At 54.0% G+C, this 26,601-nt stretch overlaps 1 protein-coding gene across 2 annotated transcripts in view, besides 4 other annotated features; it reads right to left on the bottom strand.

Annotated features, from left to right (window-relative positions):
* The window catches only part of CRTC1 (CREB regulated transcription coactivator 1), a 98,654-nt gene that overhangs the window by 61,214 nt on the left and 10,839 nt on the right, over window positions 1-26,601 (bottom strand). The window lies entirely within an intron of this gene.
* Window positions 10,316-11,310: an enhancer, noted in NCBI's record as "H3K4me1 hESC enhancer chr19:18820620-18821614 (GRCh37/hg19 assembly coordinates)". NCBI's record gives its function as "activates a minimal SCP1, AML or CMV promoter by ChIP-STARR-seq in primed H9 embryonic stem cells {active_cell/tissue: H9 hESC(primed)}" and the evidence as "EXISTENCE:reporter gene assay evidence [ECO:0000049][PMID:30033119]".
* Window positions 19,814-19,863: an enhancer, noted in NCBI's record as "active region_14331". NCBI's record gives its function as "activates an Ori minimal core promoter by ATAC-STARR-seq in GM12878 lymphoblastoid cells {active_cell/tissue: GM12878}" and the evidence as "EXISTENCE:reporter gene assay evidence [ECO:0000049][PMID:35858748]".
* Window positions 20,207-21,053: an enhancer, noted in NCBI's record as "H3K4me1 hESC enhancer chr19:18810877-18811723 (GRCh37/hg19 assembly coordinates)". NCBI's record gives its function as "activates a minimal SCP1, AML or CMV promoter by ChIP-STARR-seq in primed H9 embryonic stem cells {active_cell/tissue: H9 hESC(primed)}" and the evidence as "EXISTENCE:reporter gene assay evidence [ECO:0000049][PMID:30033119]".
* Window positions 24,463-25,361: an enhancer, noted in NCBI's record as "H3K4me1 hESC enhancer chr19:18806569-18807467 (GRCh37/hg19 assembly coordinates)". NCBI's record gives its function as "activates a minimal SCP1, AML or CMV promoter by ChIP-STARR-seq in naive H9 embryonic stem cells {active_cell/tissue: H9 hESC(naive)}" and the evidence as "EXISTENCE:reporter gene assay evidence [ECO:0000049][PMID:30033119]".

Below are 26,601 nucleotides of genomic sequence, written 5' to 3'. Positions count from 1 at the left end.
GAGGAGGTGTCCACATGACAATGAAGGCAGAGACTGGAGTGATGCAAAGAGCGCCTAGAGCCACTGAAGCTGGAGGAGGCAGGAAGGATCCTCCCCTAGAGCCTCCTGCAGGCACCAGCCCTGCCGACACCTGCACTGAATACATTTCTATTGTTTTAAGATACCCAGTTTGTGGTCATTTGTTACAGCCACCAACAGGAAAGGAAGGACTAAGGCCCCACGCATGTGTGCAGGCAGTGTACTCGGGCAGAGAGGGCCCCATGCATGCGTGCACATAGTGTACATGAGCAGAGAGAAAGAGAGGGAATTCCAAAACTCAGCCGGGTGCAGCAGCTCACACCTGCAATCCCAGTACTTTGGGAGGTCAAGGTGGGTGGATCTCTTGAGGTCAGGAGTTCGAGATCAGCCTGGCCAACATGATGAAACCCCGTCTCTACTGAAAGTACCAAAGTTAGGCCGGGCGTGGTGGCTCACGCCTGTTATCCCAGCACTCTGGGAGGCCGAGGCGGGCGGATCACAAGGTCAGGAGATCAAGACCATCCTGACTAACATGGTGAAACCCCATCTCTGCTAAAAAAAAAAAAAAAAAAAAAACACTAAAAATTAGCCGGGCGTGGTGGCAGGCGACTGTAGTCCCAGTTACTCGGGAGGCTGAGGCAGGAGAATGGCGTGAACCCGGAAGGCGGAGCTTGCAGTGAGCCGAGATCATGCCACTGCACTCCAGCCTGGGTGACAGAGCGAGACTGTCTCAAAAAAAAGAAAAAGAAAGAAAGAAAGAAAATACAAAAGTTAGTCAGGTGTGGTGGCTCACATCTGTAATCCCAGCTACTCGGGAGGCTGAGGCAGGAGAATTGCTTGAACCAGGGAAGCAGAGGTTGCAGTGACACGAGATCGCGTCACTACACTTCAGCCTGGGAGACAGTGAGACTCCATCTCAAAAACAAAACAAAACAAAACAAAAAAACTCACTTTTTCTCCACCTTGACTCAAAACACATCTCTTGGTGCACACTTGTGTTCTGGAATGTGCAAGCACACGTCTATTTGTAGCTGGGGGAACAGATCCTTTGCAGTTTAATTTTAAATCTTATCACCAATTGAATAATGCAAACCACTGGCGGGGATGCTGGCCACTTGAAACAGGGTCTCCCTCCCCAAGAGCGGCCCCTGGGTCCCAGGCAAGAAGCCCGACGCCGACGCTGCCCACATGGACGGGCCTGGGGCCTTCCCGGAGCGGGCCTGTGCCCATCTTGAAAATGTCAGGCCTGGTTTCTGACAGGTGCCGGACCTAACCTCAGGGAAGTCAGATCCCAGACACGGCAGAGGAGGCCCAGCCCTGCTCGCCCCGGGTCAGCCGCCCGCAGGCCTCTGGGATTCTGAGCACCGCGGGGCGATCTGCCAGGAGCCACCTCCGGTCGAGGCGGAACAAATGATTTTTGAAAACGGCATCTGCCTGCTGACACAGGGCTTGCTTGGGGTCTGGGCTGAACCCGCCTCTCTGAGCAGCTCTTTCGACGCTGCCTCCCCCCAGGACGGCTAAGACAAAGGCGAGATGCCCTCATTACCATGGGCCCAAAATAGCTTTTATGCTCCATTTTTTAGACATAGCTTGACTATGGAGTTACATAACACCAAAAGTCATTTTGTGATTTGGAAGGCCAGATCCTGGGCCTGCCGGGGCCCACCTGGTACCCCTTGAGTGCCCTCACAGCCCTGTCCCAAAGGCTTCACCCAGGCCCCTGAACTCCTAGCCAGGCCCCAGGTGGCACCTGCTGCAGGCCCTGGGGACCCGGTGGGGTTAGCCCTTGCCTGTCTCACCATCTTCAGGCCGCATTCTGGGCTAGCGGGGCCAGGCACCACATTTGGAGTGCCCAGCAGACACACACGATGCAGGGAAGGACCAAGCCCAGAGGAGGGGTCACTAGTTGGAGGCTGCGCCCGCCAGGGTAGAAGAAGCAGGGACAGAGGCTGGAGGTGTCCCTTTCCTCTGCCTGCCTCATCACTCCCATGATCACTTCCCAGCAGCTCGACTTCCAGGGCCCATCGTCAGCCCCCTCCCTGGTACTAGCCCGTGTCATCTCGCACCCAGACACCCACGTGACCTCCTCCCAGGCCTCCCTGCTCCCTCTGCAAGTGGCTGCCGAGACTCCTTCATTTTCTTCTCTTTATTCATTCAGTTCAAATCGTGTTATGCTCCCGTTTTAAACACACCAGTAGGCTTCCATCCTATTTAAAATAAACCCCCAATCTGTATGGCGGTTCCTCAACAAGTGACATGCTGAGCTGCTGTTATGACCAAGCAATCCCACTCCTGGACGGATGCCCCCACGAAATGAAGACAATCATACATGAGTGTGTGTACCAGCACAATGGACAACAGCCAAAAGGTGGGAAAACCCACGTGTGTGCCAAGGGATGAATGAATAAGACTGGTCTGTCCATACAGTGGAATAAGATTCAGCCATGAAAAGGAATGAAGGCTGGGCACGGTGGCTCACACTTGTAATCCCAGCACTTTGGGAGGCGGAGGAGGGAAGATCCCTTGAGGCCAGGAGTTTGAGAGCAGCCTGGCCAATATGGTGAAACCCTGTTTCTAAAAAAAAAAAAAAAAAATTAGCCAGGCATGCATGGTGGTGCACACCAATAATTTCAGCTATTCGAGAGGCAGAGGTGGGAGGTTGGACAGAGCCCAAGAGGTGGAGGCTGCAGTGAGCTGTGATCGTACCACTGCACTCCAGCCTGGGTGACAGAGTGAGACCCTGTCTCAAGAGGAACAACAAAAAAGGAAGGAAGCACTGACCCATGCTACAATGTGGATGAAACTGAACATGTGATGCTGAGTGAGAGAAGCCAGGTACAGAAGGCCACAGGGTGTGAGATTCCATCGATCTGAAATGCTCAGAACAGGCAAATCCACAGAGACAGGAAGCAGATTAGTAACTGCCAGGGGCTGGGGAGGAGAGGAGGGGAGGGACTGCTAATGGGGACAAGGTCTCCTTTGGATGATGAGAATGTTCTGGAACTAGATAGCTGTGATGCCTGCACAATACTGTGAATGCGCCAAACGCCATGGAACTGTTCACTTTCAGATGGTGAATCTTATGTTATGTGGTGTTCACCTCAACAATAGATAAGTAAGATTCAAAGCCAGCCCCGTGACGGGGCTGCCCAGGCCCTGCTGTCTTTTTCTTCTCCCTCACTCCTGTCCCTACTGCCAGGTCCTCTTCCTGCTGTCAAAGGCCTTCTCCCCAGGGGCCCTCTGCTTGTACTGTTCCTGCCTCACACACGCACCCCCGTGTCTGGAAACCACTGCTGCCTTGACCAGGGCTGGCATGAGAAACCGTCCTGCGAGAGGCCCTCCCATGTCCCTGCGGCCCTGCTCTGCTCCCACCCGGCATTTGGCCCACCCCGGAACCCTGCACCCTCCTCTCTGAGCTGCATCCTCCAGCCCCGCCCATACTCACTGTAGGCTGAGACTGGAAGGCAGTGTTTGAGCCCAGGGGTCCTGCATCCAAGCTGGTGGCTGCACGCATCTGTGTCTGCCTCTCTGGGCCCCAGTGCCCCACACACAGGCAGAAACACAGGCTCCTGTGAGTGAGCACTACGACCCTTCTGAGGGGACAGTGTTTGGGGTGATCAGCTCCAGAGGGGAGGGACTGGCCCCTGAACAGTATGGGGTGGCAGCCCTGCTCCAGCTCAGCATCTATGGCAAGGGCTCCAGGGATGCCCTTGACCCCAAGGGCCACTACCCAGTGGTCATTACTGCACCAAGGACAGAGGCCACAAGGAGACAGACCCAGTCCTGGCTCCCACACAGCCTGAAGACCCTGGGAGAGGGTGCTAGGGGAAAGACTTCCCCTGGGCCCTCCACTCCCAAGCCCAGCAGCCCCCTCTCAGCCCCACCCTGGGAGTGCCACCATCACCCCTCACTCAAAGCTCCCCAAACTCATGTCTCCAGCCCAGCGCCAGTCACCCACCAGGGAGGCTGTACAGACATCACACGTGTTCACACACATGCACCCAGCCACATGTGTGCACACTCACAGCAATGCACATAGTCACATAAACACATTCATGCACGTGCATGCACATATGCTCACACGCACACACACATGCTCACACTCCTGTCCTGCCTGCACTCCTGTCCTGCCTGCACGCCAGCTCCCACTCACTTGCACACACACGAGCACATTCACAACTGCCCAAACCTGTCCCTTCCTTAGGAACCCCCCATGCCCCACCTGGCTCCCCCATGTCCCAGCACCTCTTCTGCCCTCTCGCCTCTTCTGTCCTCATTCTGGCCCAAGCCACATCTTCTCTTGCCTGGACAAATACAGAAGCCTCCTACTGGGGTCTCAAGTTAACCCTGCAGCGCCCAAACCACTCAGCTGGAGTCTCTCCAAACTTCCCACCTGAGCAGGTCACTCCAGCTCTACAGGAAAGACGACACAGCATGCTCTACTCGCTAGCCCCTATACTAGCCATGCCCTCTCCACACACTAATGCCCGCTGGGCTCTCCACACGCTAATGCTTGCTGGGCTGCACCTGGGCTAAGAGTCATGCAGGAGCCGGCCAGGCACAGTTGCTCACACCTGTAATCCCAGCACTTTGGGAGGCCAAGGTGGGTGGATCATGAGGTCAGGAGTTTGAGACCAGCCTGGCCAACATGGTGAAACCCCATCTCTACTAAAAATACAAAAATTAGCTGGGTGTGGTGGCAGACGCCTGTAATCCCAGCTACTTGGGAGGCTGAGGCAGAGAACTGCTTGAACCTGGGAGGTGGAGACTGCAGTGAGCTGAGATCGTGCCACTGCACTCCAGCCTGGGTGACAGAGCAAGATTGCGTCTCAAAAAAAAAAAAAGAGTCATTCGGGAGCCACATTCTGGCCCCACCTCCAATAATGACCCTCAGGCTGATGTCCCCACCCTAAGACCACAGCCCCCAACAAGGGTGGGCTGTGGCTGCTGCACTCACTACAGGGTCCCCAGGGCGGGGCACTGGGCAGGGCAGCGGGGGGCACATGCCACCAGTGACTCTGGGAATCCCGGAGGCATCCCTCCCCACCTGCAGCCCAGCAAGGGGACCATTCTCAGCATCCCCGCTCTTTGGCGACACCCCCCCCGCCAACCGCTGCCAGCACATAAGCGTACACCTGTCCCAGGCTTCGGGTGCAGGAATGCCGGGGACAGCTCCAAACAGCAGCCAACCACAAGCAGTGGCAGGAAGGAGCGTGGGCTGCAGCAAAGTCAACAGGGAAACAGGATGCAGCCCTGAGCAGGGTGGGTTCAGCCAGGTGGGCCCCTTGGCTGGGACAAACCTCCAAACAGGCCAACTCAGAGAGACCCCCTGCCTGGGAGCCCACCTGCACGTGCAAACAGCACTTGGTTCCAAGATGCAATCACACAAATGACGAAAGCAAAAGCATCATGATGTCCACACACTGAGAAGCAGGGGAAGAGGGGAGGACAGGCCCGTCCCCGGGGCCACAGGTGGCTGAGGGGAGGCTGCAGCTCCCTGCTGGGCATGGGGCCTGCACCACAGTACTTACTTTCTGTTGTGGGACGTACTCCCAGAAAAGTATGTCCAAGTCCTGACCCCTGGCACCTGGAATGGGAACTTACTTGGAAATAAGGTATTTGCAGCTGTAATTGAGTTAAAGTCATGTTGGAGTAGGGTGGGCCCTAATCCAATGGCAAGGGCCTTTAGAAGAGAAGAGAAGGGGTATTAGCCAGGCGTGGTGTCGTGCACCTGTAATCCCAGCTACTTGGGAGACTAAGGCAGGAGAATTGCTTGAACCTGGGAGGTGGAGGTTGCAGTGAGCCGAGATCGCACCACTGCACTCCAGCCTGGGTGGCAAAGCGAGTCTCTGTCTCAAATGAAAAAAAAGAGAGGAGAAGGGGAAAGAGATGCAGACACACAGGCCATGTGAAGACAGGCAGAGACTGGAGTGATGCGGCTACAAGCCAAGGAGCTCCGGGAGCCCCCAGAGGCAGGAGGGATCCGCCCCTAGAGGCTTCTACAGATAGTCAACCTTGCCCACACCTTGATCTTGGACTTCTGGCCTCCAGAGCTGGGAGAGTATACATTTCTGTTTCTTAAACCACCAGATTTTGTGGTCATTTGTAGTGGCAGCCCCAGGACAATAATAAAAACTGTGCTTGAAAGGTCCCTGAACAGGCACGGAAATCCTTCCCGAAGCCCAGGCTGGGAACTGCAGGCCCCAGAGCCCAGTGGGGGCAGGAGAGGCCCTCCAAAGGGCTGAGGGAGGGCAAGGGAGCATATAGGCCCAAATATTCAGGGTGCAGACAGCAGGATGTGGCCACAGGGTTGGAGGTTCCCCGGGGGTCATCAACATTTGGGGGTGAGAACGACACCTCAATCCCTAACCTGCCATGCTGAAATGAGAATGCTCTGGAGAGACCTTTCTGGGGATCACAGCACAAGCTGGCCAGTAGCCACATCTGACCAGTGGACGGGAAGCTGCCCTTGTCTGTTTAATGAGCATTAGTTTTAGGCCGAGTGTGGTGGCTCACACCTGTAATCCCAGCACTTTGGGAGGCCAAAGCAGGCGGATCACGAGGTCAGGAGTTCGAGACCAGCCTGGCCAACATGGTGAAACCCGCTCTCTACTAAAAATACAAAAATTAGCTGGGCGTGGTGGTGCACACCTGTAATCCCAGCTACTCAGGAGGCTGAGGCAGGAGAATTGCTTGAACCCAGGAGGCGGAGGTTGCAGTGAGCCAAGATCACACCACCGTACTCCAGCCTAGGTGACAGAGCAAGACTCCGTCTCAAAAAAAAAAAGAGTGTTAGTTTTGTTGCAAACCGAATAGCAGGTGGATGGAGTGCGCCCGCCTGGACCCACTGGGGAAGCTGCATCATGGCTGCATGTGTGCTGTGATGTCTTCCTGCAAATGGAGCTATTCTGATTCCTGATTTCTGGGGCACCCCAAACCCTAGCATGGGATACAGGGCTGTGGAGGGTGGCCTTGGGTGTGCATGGCTCACCCAGCCTCATGCATACGTGTAAGGACAGTATGGGCTTGTGTGGGGCCTGGTGTGCCCTCCCACCCTGCTGCTTCCGGGCACGCTAGGGTGCCAGGAGAGGTGAGCGTGGGCCGCCCACAGGAGGCATGTGGCTGCTATTTTTAGTGTAGGTTTCCACACTTGCAGGCCCTCCCAAAACAGCCCTACCCACCAGGCTGGGGAGCGGGCTGCCAGTGGTGCAGGGCTCACCCCAGCAGATACTGCAGGGCTGTGTCCTCCAGCTCCCACCTCTGCGTGGCCTTTTGGGATGTCAGCTCCTCCCCGCGCGTGCAGCTGGGTGTACAGAAAGGGGCTCTGTGCCTGGGCACGCCACTTCATATACTTGGGCCTTTGCTTCACGCGCAAGTGGAATATTCCAAATGGACCTGGGCAGGAATCCCAGCCAACACGAACCTGGACCTTGAGCTAAGGCCAACCGGCGGTGAGCCTGGCCTCTGCAGAGCCATACAGAAACACTACAGACCCCAACAACAGGCCCAGTAACATTGGAGGGAGGAGGGGCACGAGGAGGACGCCTAAGGGTGCAGGGCCTCAGCTCCCACAGAAGGGGCACAGCAGAGAACAAGGAAAAGGAGCTTAGAAAACTGGTCTACTCCGGGAAGACAGCCCGGCCACTACTCAAACAGTTAAACCCAGAGTCACTGCAGGATCCCGCAATTCCAGTCCTCAGTATAGATCCAAGAGAACTGAAGACAGTGTCCACACAAACCCTGCAACACACATGTCCATGCAGCTCTGTTCATAACAGCCAAAAGGTGGAAACAGGCCAAATGCCCATCAACAGACAAGTGGCTGAACAGAATGTGCTCCATCCATACAGCAGAATGTGCTTCAGCCAGATGTGCTCCATCCATACAGCAGAATGCTATTCAGCCATGGAAAGGAATGAGGCACTCATCCATGCTACGACGTGGAAGAAGCCTGAAGACACGATGCTGAGTGAGAGAGGCCAGACACAAAACGCCACATAGTGTGAGATTCCATTGATCTGAAATGTCCAGAACAGGCAAATCCATAGAGACAGGAAGCAGACTGCTGGCTGCCAGGGGCTGGGGAGGGGAACGGGGAGTAACTGCTGATGGGGATAGGGGGTGGGGTCTTTTTTTTTTTTTTTGAGACAGTCTTGCTCCGTCACCCAGCCTGGAGTGCAGTGGCACGATCTCGGCTCACTGTAGCCTCTACCTCCCGGGTTCAAGCCATTCTCCTGCCTCAGCCTCCCAGGTAGCTGGGATTACAGCCGTATGCCACCATGCCCAGCTAATTTTTGTATTTTTAGTAGAGACAGAGTTTTGCCATGTTGGCCAGGCTGGTCTCAAACTCCTGACCTCGAGCGATCTGCCCGCCTTGGCCTCCCAAAGCGTTGGGATTATAGGAATGGGCAACTGCACCCGGCTAAGGGGATTCTCTTTTTGGGAGGATGAAATGTTCTGGAGCCAGGCAGAGGTGTTCACTGTACAATATTGAGAAGGTACTAAATGCCACTAAATTGCACACTTTAACATGGCTAATTAGGGCTGGGTATGGTGGCTCATGCCTATAATCCCAGCACTTTGGGAGGCCACGGCAGGCGGATTACCTGAGGTCAGGAGTTCTAGACCAGCCTGGCCAACATGGTGAAACCCTATCTCTACTAAAAATACAAAAAAATTAGCTGGGTGTGGTGGTGGGCGCCTGTAATCTCACTACCAGGAAGGCTGAGGTGGGAGAATCACTTAAACCCGGGAGGTGGAGGCTACAGTGAACCAACATCATGCCACTGAACTCCAGCCTGGGCAACGGAGTGAGCTCCTGTCTCAAAAACAAACAAACAAACAAACGTCTAACTGGGCCAGGCACAGTGGCTCATGCTTCTAATTCCAGCACTTTGGGAGGCTGAGGCAGGAGGACGGCTTGAGCCCAGGAAGGAGTTTCAGACCAGCCTGGGCAATATAGTGAGACCCATCTCCACAAAAAAATTTTAAAAATTAGCTGGCCATGGTGGCACACGCCTGTAATCCCAGCTACTTGGGAGGCTGAGGTGATAGGATCACTTGAGCCTGGATGTTGAGGCTGCTGGGATAGAACTACTGCACTCCAGCCTGGGCAACAGAGCAAGACCCTGTCTCAAAAAATTAAATAAAGGCTAATTTTTATGTTATATGTGTTTTATCTCAGTGAAAAAAGTATAAAGGAGAAATAAAAAGTATACCCAAGGTTCTGGCAGTGTGGGGGTGGGTGGAGGGGCCCAAAGTAGACCACCCTAGTGCCATCTAACCAGGAAGCCACCACGGTCCCACATGTGTATAAGGAAGAGGACGTCAGCTGCTGATCCAAGACCCTTGGCATCAAGCTTCTTGGCTATCACACACCCCCTCCCAACGCAGCCGGGAATGGGCGGAACTGCCCGGCACCCACCCCAGGACCAGCACGGCCGCCCCACCCACTACAGCCCAGAGGCCCTCAGGCCCACGTCAGAGCCTGTAACCTGGCAGGCAGGAGCAGGAGCGTGGCCGGCCGCAGCTGTGGCCTTCCTGAGGTCTGAGAAGCATTTTTTTAAAAATGCAAACTGGTGGCCAACTTTTACTTTTTTTTTCTTTTAAGTTAACTTAAACATCAGAATTGCTTGGCTTCTCCTGAAACGCTGGAAGTGCCGACAACTCAGGGCCCGGATTCCTGGCAGGCGATGGATGCATCCCCAGCTCCCGCCCGGCCCAGGCACAGAGGCGCAGGATCGGTGCCCTCATGCTCCCCTTCAAAGCGGCCCCGGGGCCGCCAAGGCCAACGCGTCCCACTGCCCCTCACTCTGGGTCAGCAGCTGTGTGGGCTGAGCTGACCCAAGGCCTGGAGGGAAGGATGGCTCCCCGACTCCCAAACAAGAAGTCCTCCCAGGCCCCTCCCCGAGAAGCAGGCCACCTGGGACGGGAAGGTTCAGTGCTAGGATGCCGCATGTGGCCAAGCAAAGCTGGGAATGCGGGTCTCACCCTGAGCCAAAACCCCAAGGAAATTTACTGCAGCTCATCCAGCAGTTAACTGTTAGCAGCCCTGGCCACAGCAGACTCCCCATCAGCTGGAGGCCTACAAAGCCCTGGGGAGGGGGCACTGTGGGGTGGGACAGGGTGAAGAAAGAGGGGTGACTGGCCAAGCCTGGGCATGGGCTTCCTAAACAGTCAAGGGTGAGGCCGGGCGCGGTGGTTCACACCTGTAATCCCAGCACTTTGGGAGGCCAAGGCTGTGGATCGCTTGAGGTCAGGAGTTCGAGACCAGCCTGGGCAACATGGCAAAACCCAAACCCCATCTCTACTAAAATACAAAAATTAGCCGGGCACAGTGGCGGGTGCCTGTAATCCCAGCTACTGGGGAGGCTGAGGCAGGAGAATCACTTGAACCCAGGAGGCGGAGGTTGCAGTGAGCCGAGATCAAGCCATTGCACTCCAGCTTGGGTGAAAGAGTGAGACTCTGTCTCAAAAAATAAATAAATAATAAATAAAAAATAAATGTAAAAAATAAACAGTCAAGGGTGCCTGAGAGTGTGACCCTCGCTACCCTCTGACCCAAAGCCCCCATGGGAGGGAACAGCTCAACACAGCCAGGAGCCCGGCCGGCCGCCGACTCACACTGGCTCCTGGCTCCCACCCCCTCCAGCAGCCCCAGAAAACCCTGCATGTCCAGCTCACCCAGAGGGATGGTCCCTTTCAAGAAGGATCTGCTGGCCAGACACTGCCCCCAGGCAGTAGGACGGGAGGCCAGGGAGGGACGTCGAGGAACGGGGAGTCCACAGCAGGGGAAGCCACAAGTCCTTGCTGGCCCAGGACAAGCTGTGCTGGCTCAGATGGGCATGGGCCGGGCAGCTGGGTGGGTAGATGGAGGAAGGAAGTGGGAGACTTCCGAGTGAGTGGGGCTGTGCAGAAAACAAGCTGGAAATGGGGTGGGGGGAAGGTGGCCAAGGAGGTGACGCTGGAGCTGGGAAGAGCACTCCAGGCAGGAGGCCCCGTGAGCACAAAGGCCCTGGGGTCACAGAGTGACCATGACAGTGGCTCGCCAAGGAAGCCAGGGTGGGCAAAGAAGTGTGGGGGGGCGGGTGCTGGGCTCAGAGCCTCAAGAGAGCTGAGCTTTGTGGGACCCCATCCTGGGTGGGACGAGAAGCCGCTGGAAGGATTTAACCAGGAGTGACCTGAGCTGTCCTCCCTGTGGCAAAGTCACCGCTGCTGGAGGAGGCAGGACTGATGGGCCAGGGCAGGGCAGGCAACATGGGAGCAGCAGCCCATCCACGGCAGGGAACGCCAGGCAGCTGTCCCCGGCCTCAGCCCTCGGAGCCCTCAGGTCCTAACTTTAGGGCTCCTGATCCTGGCTGCGTTCCAGGCTGGGGTCCCAGCATGAGGAAGCCCGCCCAGGGCAGACGGGACCCATCTCCCCCAGGTGGAGTCCTAGGTGCACTGCCGGCTTCCCAGAGGACCTCAGCAGGGGTGTCCGCAGGTACAGAGGCTCATCCCAACTCCCATCCATGGCCTTGCTCAGACACAGCCCCCAGCCACCCTCAGATGCCCTCTCTGCTCCCTCTCAGCCCCATGCAGATACTGCCCTTCTTAACCTGCCCGCTCCCTCCTTCCTGTCTAGGCCCCATTTTGGGCCTGGAGGCTTCTCCCTCTGAAGCTGTCCTGGCTCCTGCCACCTGGCCTGTCCCCTGCACCAGGAGCCACACCCCCCTGCTGCAGCCCTTCTCCCACTGCCTGAGGGTTACGTGTGGGGGCAAGGTGGGCATAAAAAGGCACCATGAGGGGACATCAGGACAGAGGATGAGGGGCCAGGTGAGGGGAAAGGTGGTCCCTGTGTGAGGGAGGCTGCGGGCACCAGGCTGGGAGGCCCTGTCCCCTTGGCTACCACCTCCTCATGTGCACCCTGCCAACACCAAGCCTCTGCAGCTGCTCTGCCCACTGCCAGGTGCACCTGCGACTCTGGGCTCCACAAGGCCCCTCCCATGCCATGCCTGGCACCTGCTGCTCCAGAAACAGCCCTGGGACCCTGCACCTCCGAGCACCATGCGGGCTCAGAGGAGGTACCGGGTGGACATTTACCCACTGCACCCATGAGGCCTTCCCCTCAGCCTTCCTCCCGGGCCTAGAGACAGCACCCCACGGAGGACAGGACAGCAGGGAGCGGCAGGGAGGAGTCACCAGGGTGGCCACACGGCTGCCTGAACTGAGCACAGCTCTGGGCTTGCCACGGCGTGGGCAGGGTGGCTGAGTAGGGGCAGGAAACCAGGGTCCTCCTGCTTCTGGGCACCGCTCAGCTGGGAGCAGGGCCAGTGCCCACGGAAGATACCACAGGGTCCCGAACGGCGGTGGGAAGGGAAGGGCCAGGCCGGCCCCACAGGAGCCCTGACCTCGGTCCCCACGCTCCGTCTGCCTCTCAAACTTGGCTCCCCGAGGACTTGGCCTCTGTGTTTCTCACGTCACTCCTTACTGTCAGCTAACTCCCAAGTGCCGCCCCAGCCCTGCTTCCAGAACATTCCCTGTGATGCCCCAGGAGACTCCTCCAGCCCAGCAGCCCCTCACCAGGCTCGTCATGGTCCCGATTCCCCCAGCCAACGTGCCCAATTCACCTGGCCCTGGCAGACAGTGCCATGATCTTCCTGATGCTGATACAGAAGCCAGAAACCCGGGGTGGCCCCGTTCCTCTCTCGGGCACCCTGGGTTCACCTCTCCTCTGCAGTTCCTGAGCCCCTCCAGAACCCACAACTCCCTTCCCTGTTCTCCTCTCCAACCCCACCACCTTTTCTCTAGCCTTTCTTAAAGCTCAAAGCTGATCCTGGGTCACCCCTCCCCACCCCATAGCTGGCTGTGGGATCACGTCCAAGCTCTCCAGCTTGGCTCTTGGGCCTTTCCAGATCTGGGTCTCCTCTCTCCTTCCTCCTTCCCTGCCTCCTGTAGGCCTCTGGGCCCCATATATGCTGTTTCTCCTCCACCCAAAGAGCCTTCCCTTCCCTACCCACCTCTTGCACCGGCAACTCGGACCTCACCCCTAATGTCCCACTGCAGAGCTCTCCTCCTCCAGGCAGCCCTCCCAGGAGACATGGCTGCCTTCATGGAGCACTACCTGTGCAAGCTACAGTCCTGAGGACTGTTCATGCATTGACAGAGTTAGCCCCCTTCATGGCACATCTTACAGATGGGGAAACTGAGGCAGGGGCCAATTATGGGCTTGCCCAGGGTCACATAGCTGGGAGGAGGAGAGTGTGACTTCTTTTTGTTGTTGTTGTTTTAAATAGAGACAGGATCTGACTACGTTGCTCTGCCTGGTCTTGAACTCCTGGGCTCAAGTGATCCTCCTGCCTTGGCCTCCCAAAGTGGTGGGATTACAGGCGTGAACCACTGTGCCCGGCCACAACTTAATATTTCAGAGGTGGCAATACTACCCAAAACAGTCTAGATTCAATGCAATCCCTACCAAAATACCATTTCCTGAAGAAATAGAAAAAAATCCACCCTAAAATCCATATGGGATCTCAAGGAATCTGAAATAGACAAGACAATCTTGAAAAATAACAAAATTGGAGGACTCACACTTTGTTATTTCAAAACTTAACTACAAAGCTACAGTAATCAAAACAGTGTGGTACTGACATAAAGACAAACATCAAGACCAATGGAATAGAATAAAAGCCCAGAAATAAACCCTCACATATATGGTCAAGTGATTTTCAACAAGGGTGCCAAACCATTCAACGGGGAAGGGACAGTCTTTTCAACAAAACGGCTCTGGAAAAACAAGATCTCCATATGCAAAAGAATGAAGCTGTGCCCTGATCTAACACCATATACAAAAATTAACTCAAGACGGATCAAAGATCTAAAGCTAAAACTATAAAAGTAAAAAACTAAAACTGTAACTCTATAACTAAAACCATAAAAGCTAAAACTATATATACTAAAACTATAAAACTCTTGGAAGAAAACAGAGGAAAAGCTTCATACACTGGAGTTGGCAATAATTTCTTGGATCGGACACCAAAAGCACAGGCAACAAAAGAAAAAATACATAAATTGGATGCTGCCAAAATTAAAAACACTTGTGCATCAAAAGACGTAATCAACAGAGTGAAAAGGCCCCATTCCCACGGAATGAGAGAAAATATTTGCGAATCATATAGATGATAAGGGATCAATATGTAGACTATATAAAGAACTCTTACAACCCACCAACAAAAAGAAAAACAACCCAATTTAAAAATAGTCAAAATGTGAATGTACTAAAAAGCGCTAAAAAACAAGGGCAAAGGACTTGAATAAACATTTCTCCAAAGACAAATGGCCAATAAGCACATGAAAAGATGCTCAACAGCACTAATCATTAGGGAAATGCAAACCAAAACCACAATCCCTATCAAAATATCCTTTTTCGCAGAAATAGAAAAAAATCCACCCTAAAATCCATACAGAATCTCAAAAAACCTCAAATAGCCAAGACAATATTGAAAAAGAATAACAAAATTGGAAGACTCACACTTCTTGATCTCAAAACTTAACTACAAAGCTACAGTAATCAAAAGAGTGTGATACTGGCATAAAGAGAAACATAAAGACCAATGGGGCCAGATGTGGTGGCTCACGCCTATAATCCCAACACTTCGGGAGGCCAAGGCGGGGGGGATCATCTGAGGTCAAGAGTTCAAGACTAGCCTGGCCAACATGGTGAAACCCCATCTCTACTAAAAATACAAAAATTAGCTGAGTGTGGTGATGGGCACCTGTAATCCCAGCTACTCAAGAGGCTAAGGCAGGAGAATCGCTTTGAACCCGGGAGGAGGAGGTTGCAGTGAGCCAAGATTGCACCACTGCACTCCAGCCTGAGAGACAGAGCAAGACTCTGTCTAAAAAAAAAAAAAAAAAAAAAAAAAAAAAAAAAAAAAAAAAGACCAATGGAATAGAATAGAAAGCCCAGAAATAAACTGTCACATATATGGTCAAGTGATTTTCAACAAGGGTGCCAAACTACTCAATGGGAAAAGGATGGTCTTTTCAACAAATAGCTCTGGGAAAACAGGATCTCCAAGTGCAAAAAGAAAAACAACCCAATTTAAAATAGATAAAGTATGAATATACTAAAAAGCATTAAAAAAAAAAAAAAAGAGAGAGAGAGAGGAAAAGGAAAAGGGCACAGGACTTGAATAAACATTTCTCCAAAGACAGACAAATGGCCAAGAAGCACATGAAAAGATGCTCAACATCACTAATCATTAGGGAAATGCAAACCAAAACCACAATCCCTATCAAAATATCATTTTTTGCAAAAAAAAAATATTAGGATTAGTAAATATTAGTAGACATTAGGATGGCTATTATCAAAAAATCAGAAAATAACAAGTGTTATTGAGGATATGGAGAAACTGAAATCCTTATACACTGTTGGTAGGAACATAAAATGGTATAGCCACTACAGAGAACAGTGTGGCAGTTCCTCAAAAAATTAAACATGCTGGCTGGGCGTGGTGGTTCACGCCTGTAATCCCAGCACTTTGGGAGGCCAAGGCAGGTGGATCATCTGAGGTCAGGAGTTCGAGACCAGCCTGGCGAACATGGTGAAACCCCCATCTCCATTAAAAACACAAAGATTAGCCAGGTGTGGTGGCATGCGCCTGTAATTCCAGCTACTCGGGAGGCTGAGGCAGAACCGCTTGAACCCAGGAGGCAGAGGATGTGGTGAGCCGAGATCACGCCACTGCACTCCAGCATGGGTGGTAGAGCAAAACTCTGTCTCAAAAAAAATTAAACATACAATTACACATGATCCAGCAATCCCATGTCTGGGAATATACCCAAAAAAATTATGAGTAGGGACTCAAAGAGATGTACACCAATGTTCACAGCAGCACTACGCACAATAGCCAAATGGTGAAACCAGCCAAATGTCCATCAACAGATGAACGGATAAACAAAATGTGTCCCATCCATACAGTGGAATAACAGCCTTAGAGGGGAAGGACGTTCTGACACGTTACAACGTGGACGAACCTTGAGGACATTATGCTCAGTGAAATAAGCCAGACACAAAATGATAAATCCTGGATGATTCTCCTTACATGAGGTCCCTGGAGTCGTCAAACTCATAGAGGTGGAAAATAGGATGGTGGTTGCCAGGGGCTGGGAGGGAATGGAGGGTAGTAGGAGGGTGGGGGTTGGGGATTGGGGGGTAGGGGGTGGGTGGGTGAGTGTTTAATGGGGACAGAGTTTCTGTGCGGGAAGATGCAAAAGCTCTGAACACAGATGGTGGTGATGATTGCAAAACAATGTGAGGATACTTACTAAATGCCACTGAACTGCACACTTAAGGTTAAGACAGTAACTTACACGTTATGTGTATTTGTTTTGTTTTTGGTTTGTTTTTGAGACAGGGTCTTGTTCTGTTGCCCAGGCTGCAGTGCAGTGGTGCGATCATGGCTCACTGCAACCTCTGCCTCCAGGGTTCAAGCGATTCTCCTGCCTCAGCATCCCGAGTAGCTGGGATTACAGGCGCCTGCCACCACACCCAGCTAATTTTTGTATTTTTAATAGAGACGGGGTTTCAACATGTTGACTAGACTGGTCTCGAACTCCTCACCTCAGGTGATCCACCTGCTTCAGTCTCCCAAAGTGCTGGGCTTACAGACAAGAGCTACCGCATCTGGCCACATGTTATGTGTATTTTACTAACTTTAAAAAAAAGAAAAAGGCTGGGCATGGTGACTCACGCCTGTAATCCTAGCACTTTGGGAGACCAAGGAGGGTGGATCACTTGAGCCTGGGCAACATGGCAAGACCCCCGTCTCTACAAAAGAATTTTAAAACAAAGCCAGGCATGATGGTGTAGTCCCAGCTACTTGAAAGGCTGAGGTGGAAAGATTGCTTGAGCCCAGGAATTCCTGGCTGCAGTGAGCACTGCACTCCAACCTGGGCAACACAGGCAGATCCCTATTTTAAATATAAAAAAAGAAAAAATATAAAAAGAAAACGAGCACTTCACTTCTGTGGGATCCCCACCAAAATCCCACAACCTCAGTCCAATTGCCAGAAAACCTCCACAAGACCACAATAAGGACATTCCACAAAACACCTGACCAGCTCTCCTCAAGAGAGTGAAGGTCACGGATGATGAGGAGACATTGAGGAACCATCACAGATTGGAGGAATCAAAGGAGATGCTTTGACTAAATGCAACACGTTGCCAGGCGCAGTGGCTCTCGCCTGCAATCCCAGCATTTTGGGAGGCCAAGGCAGGCAGATAACTTGGGGTCAGGAGTTCGAGACCAGCCTGGCCAACATAGTGAAACCCCATCTCTACTAAAAATGCAAAAATTAGCCAGGCACGGTGGCTCAAACCTATAATCCTAGCACTTTGGGAGGCCAAGGCAAGCGAATCATCTGAGGTCAGCAGTTCAAGACCAGCCTGGTCAACACAGCGAAACACCATCTCTACTAAAAACGCAAAAATTAGCCGGGCATGGTGGTGCATGCCTATAATCTCAGCTACTTGGGAGGCTAAGACACCAGAATCGCTTGAACCTGGGAGGTGGAGGTTGCTTGCAGTGAGCTGAGATCGTGCCACTGCACTCCAGCCTAGGCGACAGAACAAGACTCTATCATAAATAAATAAATAAATAAATGCATAAATAAATACGTAAGTAAATAAATGCAACACACAACCCTGTCCAGAGAAGGTGCTTAAAGGAGCAATCCGGGGAAATCCAAACACAGTCTGGAGTCTAGTTAATAGAATTGTGACAACTGGGCCAGGAGCGGTGGCTCACGCCTGTAATCCCAGCACTTTGGGAGGCCAAGGTGGGCAGATCACGAGGTCAGGAGATTGAGACCATCCTGGCTAACACAGTGAAACCCCGTCTCTATCCTGACCGAGACCGTCCTGGCTAACAAGGTGAAACCCCATCTCTACTAAAAATACACACAAAAAAATTAGCCGGGCGTGGTGGCAGGCGCCTGTAGTCCCAGCTACTCGGGAGGCTGAGGCAGGAGAATGGCGTGAACCCAGGAGGTGGAGCTTACAGTGAGCCGAGTCTCAGCTATTCAGGAGGCTGAGGCAGGAGGACTGCCTGAGCCCAGGAAATTGAGGCAACAGAGCGAGAGCGAGACTCCATCTCAAAAAAAAAAGAACTGTGACAACTGGAGGTCCCAGCCCGGCCGTCGCAACCAGGTCACGTGTGATGTTCACAATGTGGGAAACAGGTGGGGGGTTATGGGTATTCCCTGCACTATCTCCAAAACTTTTCACAAAGTCTAAGAGACTATCTCCTGTGTAATCCCAGCACTTTGGGGGGCCGAGGCAGGTGGATCACCTGAGGTTGGGAATTCGAGACCAGCCTGACCAACATGGAGAAACCCTGCCTCTACTAAAAATACAAAATTAGCCGGGTGTGGTGGCGCATACCTGAAATCCCAGCTACTCGGGAGGCTGAGGGCAGGAGAATCGCTTGAACCCGGGAGGTGGAGGTTGCGGTGAGGCAAGATTGTGCCATTGCACTCCAGCCTGAGCAACAAGAGCGAAAATCCATCTCAAAAAAAAAAAAAAAAAGACTATCCCCTAAGAAGCCAGGTATGGGGCTCAAGCCAGCACTTTGGGAGGCCCAGGCAGGAGGAGGATCACTTGAGCCCAGGAGTTTGAGACCAGCGTAGGCAACACAGGGAGACTCCTGTCTCTACAAAAAATATATACTAAAAATTAGCCAGCTGTGGTGGTACACACCTATGGTCTCAGCTACTCAGGCGGCTGAGGCAGGAGGACTGCCTGAGCCCAGGAAATTGAGGCTACAGTGAGCCAAGATCACACCACTGCAGTCCAGCCTGGGCAACAGAGCCAGACCTTGTCTCAAAAAAAAAAAAAAATGCTGGGCACAGTGGCTCACGCCTGTAATGCCAGCACTTTGGGAGGCTGAGGCGGGCAAATCACCTGAGGTCGGGAGTTCAAGACCAGCCTGACCAACATGGAGAAACCCCATCTCTATTAACAATACAAAATTAGCCGGGTGTGGTGGTACACGCCTATAATCCCAGCTACTCGGGAGGCTGAGACAGGAGAATTGCTTGAACCCGGGAGGAGGAGGTTGCGGTGAGCCGAGATTGCACCACTGTATTCCAGCCTGGGCAACAAGAGTGAAACTCCGTCTCAAAAAAAAAAAAAAAAAACAAAACGGTGGGCGCGGTGGCTCATGCCTATAATCCCAGCACTTTGGGAGGCCAAGGTGGGCGGATCATTTGAGATCAGGAGTTGGAGACCTGCCCGACCAACATGGTGAAACCCCGTCTCTACTAAAAATACAAAAAAAATAAAAAACATTAGCTGGGCCTGGTGACACACGCCTGTAATCCCAGCTACTCAGGAGGCTGAGGTAGGAGAATCGCTTGAACCCAGGAGGTGGACGTTGCAGTGAGCTGAGATGGCGCCATTGCACTCCAGCCTGGGTGACAGAGTGAGATTCTGTCTCAAAAAACAAAAAACAAAAATCCTATCTCATAAGAAACAGTTAACAGCAATGAATACTCCCTCAGGTGAAACTAAACAGATGACCCATAAGCCACACAGTGGCAGCTGTCATATTCTGGGCCAAGGCACAGAGGTGAACAAGGTGCGATCCTGCTCTCACTGTTGCCCCAAGTAGCAGCTCAACAGCTGGCCTCGGCCAAGCAGGCATCTTTCAAGGTGTGCACCCACCACGGGCCGGGCACGGGGCCAGACACTTTGCGTGGATGCATCATCTAATCCATGTGACGACTCCTCAAGGGGGCTCTGTGAGCACCCCCTTTTTACAGCCAGGAAACTGAGGCACAGAAGGGAGGGACTGTTTGGCAGGAGCCAACAGAGGCGCATAGAGCAGCGTGATGAGCCCCGGGCTCTGGGGGCGGGCCCGCGAGCAGGCAGCCTCCACCCCATGGTGGACCTTCAGGCTCCTCCTTCTGCCCCGGCTGAGCCGGCAGTGAAGGGATTAGCGGGCTCCTTGCCGAACAGAGGCCGAGGCCGCCTGGGCGCAAAGATAGGCTGTTGGGACCATAAATCATCCCCAGGGTCTGTGCATTTATTCTGTGATGATATAATGAGCCACTCCTGTCCTAATTACAGCCACCAATCTCGCCTGCCTGGGAGGACCGAAGGGATCCCCGCAGCGATGGAAGCGGGATGCGCACAGATGCGAAAGGACTCAATGGTGTAACGCAGCAGGGAGCCTCTGCTTTCAGTCACTTGAGAAAGAGACGCTGAAGCAGACAGAGAGCCCCTCCGAGGTTCCGAGGTTCTGCAGACCCCTGCAGCCCAGAAAGGTGGACAGCTCGCGTGTCTTTGCGGACACGCTCGGCCTCCCCGTGTCCCCAGCCAGAGGGACGGCCAGCCCACAGAGCCAGTCCCAGGCGCCCTGCTAGGCTGTGCTGATACTTCCTCCCAGAGATTTCCGGGCGAATGACCAGCTGGCATGCACCCACCCACCCTCTGCACCCAGGTGAGTGGTGCCAGATGCAGAGGAAACGGGAAGTGCTGTGGTGTTTCTGTTTTCAATTTTAATCAAAGTTTTGAAACATAAATGATTTCTTTATTTTCATTTTTTTTATTTAAAAAAAAAAAAGTGTGGCAGAGAGCTTCTCTGCAGCAAGAGCCCCGGCAGGAAAGGGAAGAGAAGGGCGGCCTGCAGAAGTTCTCAGGGAGGCTTCGCCCCCTTGCCGAGAGCCCCCAAGCACCGTGGTGGTCTCTGGGCTGTTGAAATACCAGAGTGGGGTATGTGGATAAGGGACAGGGTGGCTAGGATATGGGCACAGGGTATTAGCACCCGCAGTGGGAGAAGGCCCACCCTTCCAAGCAGACTCAGCCCCTCTGGGCCTCACCGCACCCTTCAACCCCACCCCACGGAGTGAAACTCCTGGGACCAGCGGAGGCGTCAGGACCCAAGTACAGAGAAGGGGGAATTTTATGTAGTAAATGAGGACCCAAAGCCTCTCAGCCGCTATAGTGGTGACGTTCCCCAGTGTGGGGCTCCCTGAGATGGAAGACGCAGCCACTTAACATAACCCTCCCGTCGCCAACCCTCCTGGGGAATCAGGCTCAGGATCCATGGGTGTGAGAGCTGCCGAGATGAGGCTCAGTCTGTCACAAGCCCGCCTTTGCCAAGCCCCAGGTCATCACAGAGCCCCAGCACCCACTATCTCCGGGGGACACCTGCCCTGGCCCCTCCTAGGCCTCCTGCTGCTCCCTACTCGTTCCTCCCAGGCCTGTCCCCACATGGCAGCCAATGGGATCCTTGCAAAGCATAAATCCCACATCACTGCCCTGCTCAAAACCCTCCCCATCCCAGGACCAGATCTCAACCCCTCACCCTGGCCCACGAGGCATCACCCCCAGAGCCAGGCGAGGCCAGGCTCTTCGCTTTGGCTCAGAGCCGCAACCTCAGGGGCAGGGCCAGCTGGCACAGGTGTGGCTTCCTGTCACTCCCTAGGGCAGGGTCTCCAGCTGACCTGCTCTCCAAGGTGTCTCCGGGGCCAGCTCACAGGAGATGCTCAGGAAATACCAACTGACTCGAGGAATGGACTTTCCTATCCAAACCCTCACTGCTGCAGGGAGAACTCACCGGGCCACCCCAGTGCTTCTTGTTCAGGCACTCAGAGGGCTGGGTGGGCACCATCATGCAGCCCCAGGGCCATCCTACCCCGAGGATTTGACCCTGGAACACACTGTGTTCCGTACAAGTATACAGGCTCAGGATTTGCTTAGAAAAATGTGAGCTCCAGGAAGACCACAAACTACTCTTCTCACTTCAGGGCCCCTCAACAGCCGGTACATGTTCCCAGATGGAGGTATTGAGAAGACCCCGCACACCCCTCCCAGGACTGAAGTGGGGACATTGGACCATGTGACATGGTACTGGCCCTCTTAGAGAGCACCTGCTTCTATGAGATTCCAGAATGAACTGGAGACAGGCCTGCCCACAGGGAGGTCAGATTCCAGAGCCTGCTGATGCCTGCTGAGCACCTGCTGAGTTCACACTGTGCCTGCTGAGCGCCTGCTAAATACACACTGTGTGTCAGCTGAGTGCCTGCTAAATACACACTGTGCACCTGCTAAGCGCCTGCAGAGCACACACGGTACGCCTGCTGAGTACCTGCTAAATACACATTATGCACCTGCTGAGCGCCTGCTAAATACACACTGTGCACCTGCTGAGTGCCCGCAGAGCACACACTGCGCCTACTGAGTACACAGTGTGCACTTGCTCAGCAACCAAATACACACTGTGCACCTGCTGAATACACACCGTGTGCCTGCTGAACACTGTACGCCTGCTGAGCACCTGTATACACATTGTGCACCTGTGGAATACACACTGTGCGCCTGCTAAGTGCCTGCTAAGTACACACTGCACTTGCTGAGCACCTGCTTAGTACACACTGTGCATGTGCTGAGAACCTGATGAGTACACACTGCGCATCTGCTGAGCACCTGCTGAGCACACACTGCGCCTGCTGAGCGCCCGGTGAGTATACACTGTGCGCCTGCTGAGTACACACTGTGCACCTGCTGAGTGCCTGCTGAGTACACACTGTGCCTGCTGAGCGCCTGCTGAGCGCCTGCTGAGTACACACTGTGCCTGCTGAGTGCCTGCTGAGTACACACTGTGCACCTGCTAAGCACTTGCTGAGTACACACTGTTGTGTGTGCCTGCTGAGCGCCTGCTGAGTACAAACTGTGTGCCTGCTAAGCACCTGCTGAGTACACACTGTGCACCTGCTAAGCACTTGCTGAGTACACACTGTGCCTGCTGAGCGCCTGCTGAGTACACACTGTGCACCTACTAAGCACTTGCTGAGTACACACTGTGCCTGCTGAGTGCCTGCTGAGTACACACTGTGCACCTACTAAGCACTTGCTGAGTATACACTGTGTGCCTGCTGAGTGCCTGCTGAGCGCCTGCTGAGTACATGCTGCGCCAGCTGAGCGCCTGCAGAACACAAACTGTGCACCTGCAGAGCACCTACCGTGTGCCTGCCGAGCACCTGCTGAGTACACACTGCAGAACACACCGTGCACCTGCTGAGCACCTGCAGAACACACACTGTAAGCCTGCTGAGCACCAGCTGAGTACATACCATTAGCCTGTTGAACACCAGCTGAGTACACACTGTGTGCCTGCTGAGCATCTACTGGGCACCTACTGAACATCTGCTAAATATTTCCTTGTGTGGGCACGAAGTGCCTCTTGCAGGCCTGCTGTGTCCCCATCAAGCACCTGTTGGATGCCTGCCAAATGCCTGCCCAGTGCCAACTGGGTACACCATGTGTCCACAGTAGCCACACCTCCAGCATCTTGGCAGCAGTGAGCACACAGTGAGTATCTATGCCAGGCCCCATTCCAGATACACCAGATGCCTTCACATTCACGTCTCACCATGATCCAATGAGGCAGAGACCACTGTGACCCCTACTGCACCATGCACCAAAGACAGCAGGGCCTCCCAGGTTGGGCCAAGAGCATTGGCTCATGCCTGTAATCCCAGCATTTTGGGAGGCCAAGGAGGGAGAATTACTTGAGGTCAGAAGTTGGAGACCAGCCTGGCCAACATGGTGAAACCCCATCTCTACCAAAAATGCAAAAATTAGCCAGGTATGGCGGTGCACGCTTGTAATCCCAGCTATTCAGGAGGCTGAGGCAGGACAATCGCTTGAACACGAGAGGCAGAGGTTGCTGAGCTGAGATCGCACCACGGCACTCCAAAAAAAAAGAGGCCTCCCAGGTCTAAGCTCGCCCAGAAGGAAGCGAGGTGGGGGCTGAGGCTGACTGTGTGGCCCTGGCTGGACACCGATGAGGCTGCTCCCCCCGGTGCCAAGTGCTTCTGAATCCCTCCGTGCAAGAACCCCAAGGAGGAGGCCCCGGCCATGCTTCGTTTCCAGTTGGCAAATAATAAACATTGGCTCTCGGGCATCCCTGGCCCTCGAGGCACGCGGCACTTCCTTATTTACACACCTGGACCCCCATCCAGCTGCTGGCACCACAGCCACACCCAGAAGAACAGGGCACCCACCTCCACCCAGGGGCCACGCAGGACCTGTTGGAGGTCAGAGACATACCCCAACCAGAAATAAAGTGGGGGTGTGTTCTATCCCATGAGCTCCAAGGTGAAGCAGGACTCTCCTACCCCCCACCCCTCCCCTGTGATTCTGGTTCCCACGCTGCAGCCTGGGACTCCCCCACCCGCCCTCCCAATAATCCCTGTCACCATCACCTCCTAAATGCCCCGAGTCTTCCTCCGTGAGTGGCACACCTCCAGCTGCTCGCCCTCCTCCCTACTGGAGGGGGCTCAGGGACACACAGGTGGGGCCATTCCCAGGCAGGCACCTTGGAGAGGTCCCCACTCCCCCAGTACATGCACTGGGACAAACACAAAGAATGTTTAGGTTGAGAAAAACCAGGGACAACCTCTATGCTTCTCAACAGATGAACATGAACTGAGGCTCAGCGTACAACAAGGTCCTCCGCATGGGCCTTGGAGTCAGACACAGGTTCAAGTCCCAGCTCCTCCTCCCACCGTCAGCCATGTGACCTCCTGTGCCTCAATTTCTCATCTGTGCCATGGGGGCAGGCAACAGGCCCTTTCTCATGAGTTACTGCAACAATCCACTGTGCACAAATACATGGATTCTAGCAAGGCCAGTTCCTGCCACTCCCTGGACCCCCACTGTCACTCACATTGCCATCCCACTAGAACCTTCCATGGCTCCACATGGCAGGGCCTGGCTCCAGGCCCTCCACCCACTGTCGTACCTGCTCTGAGGGCCCCTTCCTCGGCACACAGGCTTCCAGCAGCCTGAACCGCCCTGCCTCACCCTGACCAGCCGGCCAACTCCCAGAACTCCGTGACACGGCAAAAACACACAGGCTGCGGGGTTAGTCCAACCTGGGTCAGATGGCAGCCTCTCCACTCTAGCGCTCTATGACATTCGCTCTCCGGGCCTGTCTCCCACTCTGTAAACCCGGGAGGACGCCACCAGCTGCCCAGAGCAGTCATGTACTACAGGATCCAGGTTTGCATCTCATGTAGCCAGTAGCCTCCACCCACCCCTCTGCACCTGCATGCTCCCGGCACACACAGGGCCTGACACCAGGGCTTCTGGACTGTGACACTGCTGACACTTAGGGCTGGATAATTCCCTGTGGTGGGGGCCATCCTGTGTACTGTAGTGTTTTTGTTTGTTTGTTTGTTTGTTTTTGAGATGAAGTCTCACTCTGTCGCCCAGGCTGGAGCGCAGTGACGCGATCTCGGCTCACCGCAAGCTCTGCCTCCCGGGTTCACGCCATTCTCCTGCCTCACCCTCCCGAGTAGCTGGGACCACAGGCGCCCACCACCACGCCCAGCCAATTTTCCGTATTTTTAGTAGAGACGGGGTTTCACTGTGTTAGCCAGGATGGTCTCGATCTCCTGACCTCGTGATCTGCCTGTCTCAGCCTCCCAGAGTGCTGGGATTACAAGCGTGAGCCACCACACCCGGCCGTGTGTACTGTAGTGTTGACCAGTATCCTCAGTCTCTGCCCACTGGATGCCAGTAGCACCCCATTCCCCGTCGTGACAACCACAAATGTCCCCAAAAGTTGCCAAATGCCCCCAGGGGCAGAATCGGCCCCAAGTGAGCCCCCTACTCTGCACGGAATAACCTGTGGATTTTGATGTTTCCCTGACCCTGGGTTCAGGCCAGTCTCTACCCAGGGCAGACCCCACTTGTGCTGTCCATATGGCATTTTACAGAGTCCCATTTAAAAAAAGAAATCCCCAGGCCGGGCGCAGTGGCTCACATCTGTAATCCCAGCACTTTGAGAGGCGAAGGCGGGCAGGTCTCGAGACCAGGAGTTCGAGACCGGCCTGGCAAACATGGCGAAACCCCCAACTCCACCAAAAGTACAAAAATTAGCTGGGCACATTGGCTCATGCCTGTGATCCCAGCACTTTAGGAGGCCGAGGCGGGCAGATCACTTGATGTCAGGAGTTGGAGAGCAGCCTGGCCAACATGGTGAAACCTCATCTCTACTAAAAATACAAAAATTGGCTGGGCATGGTGGCGCGTGCCTATAGTCTCCGCTACTTGAGAGGCTGAGGCAGGAGAATCACTTGAACCCAGGAGGCAGAGGTTGCAGTGAGCCAAGATCTTATAGGAGCAAGACTCCCTCTCTCAAAAAAAAAAAAAAAGAGGTCGCTGAAAGTGGGAGAACTGCCGCCAACCTCACTCTCCTTGCTAACCACCCCCAGCCCCTGCAGCTGATCTTCCTTAACACTTGAGGTCAGTGGGTTTCAAACTGTGTGTGAGTCCCAGAGGCCAGCCAATCCCTTCTGTGAAGGGCCAGATGCGCCTGGCGCAGTGACTCACACCTGTAATCCCAACACTCTGGGAGGCCAAGATGGGACAATTGCTTGAGCACAGGAGTTTGAGACCAGCCTGGACAACACAGGGAGAAGACCCTGTCTCTACAAAAAATAAAAAAATTAGCCGGGCATGGTGGCTAACACCTGTGGTCCCAGCTACTCAGGGGGCTGAGGTGGGAGGATCGCTAGAGCCCAGGAGGT

This window comes from Homo sapiens, chromosome 19 (assembly GCF_000001405.40).
Source record: "Homo sapiens chromosome 19, GRCh38.p14 Primary Assembly".
NCBI classification, from domain to species: domain Eukaryota; kingdom Metazoa; phylum Chordata; class Mammalia; order Primates; family Hominidae; genus Homo; species Homo sapiens.
This window is presented reverse-complemented; position numbering and strand designations above follow the sequence as displayed.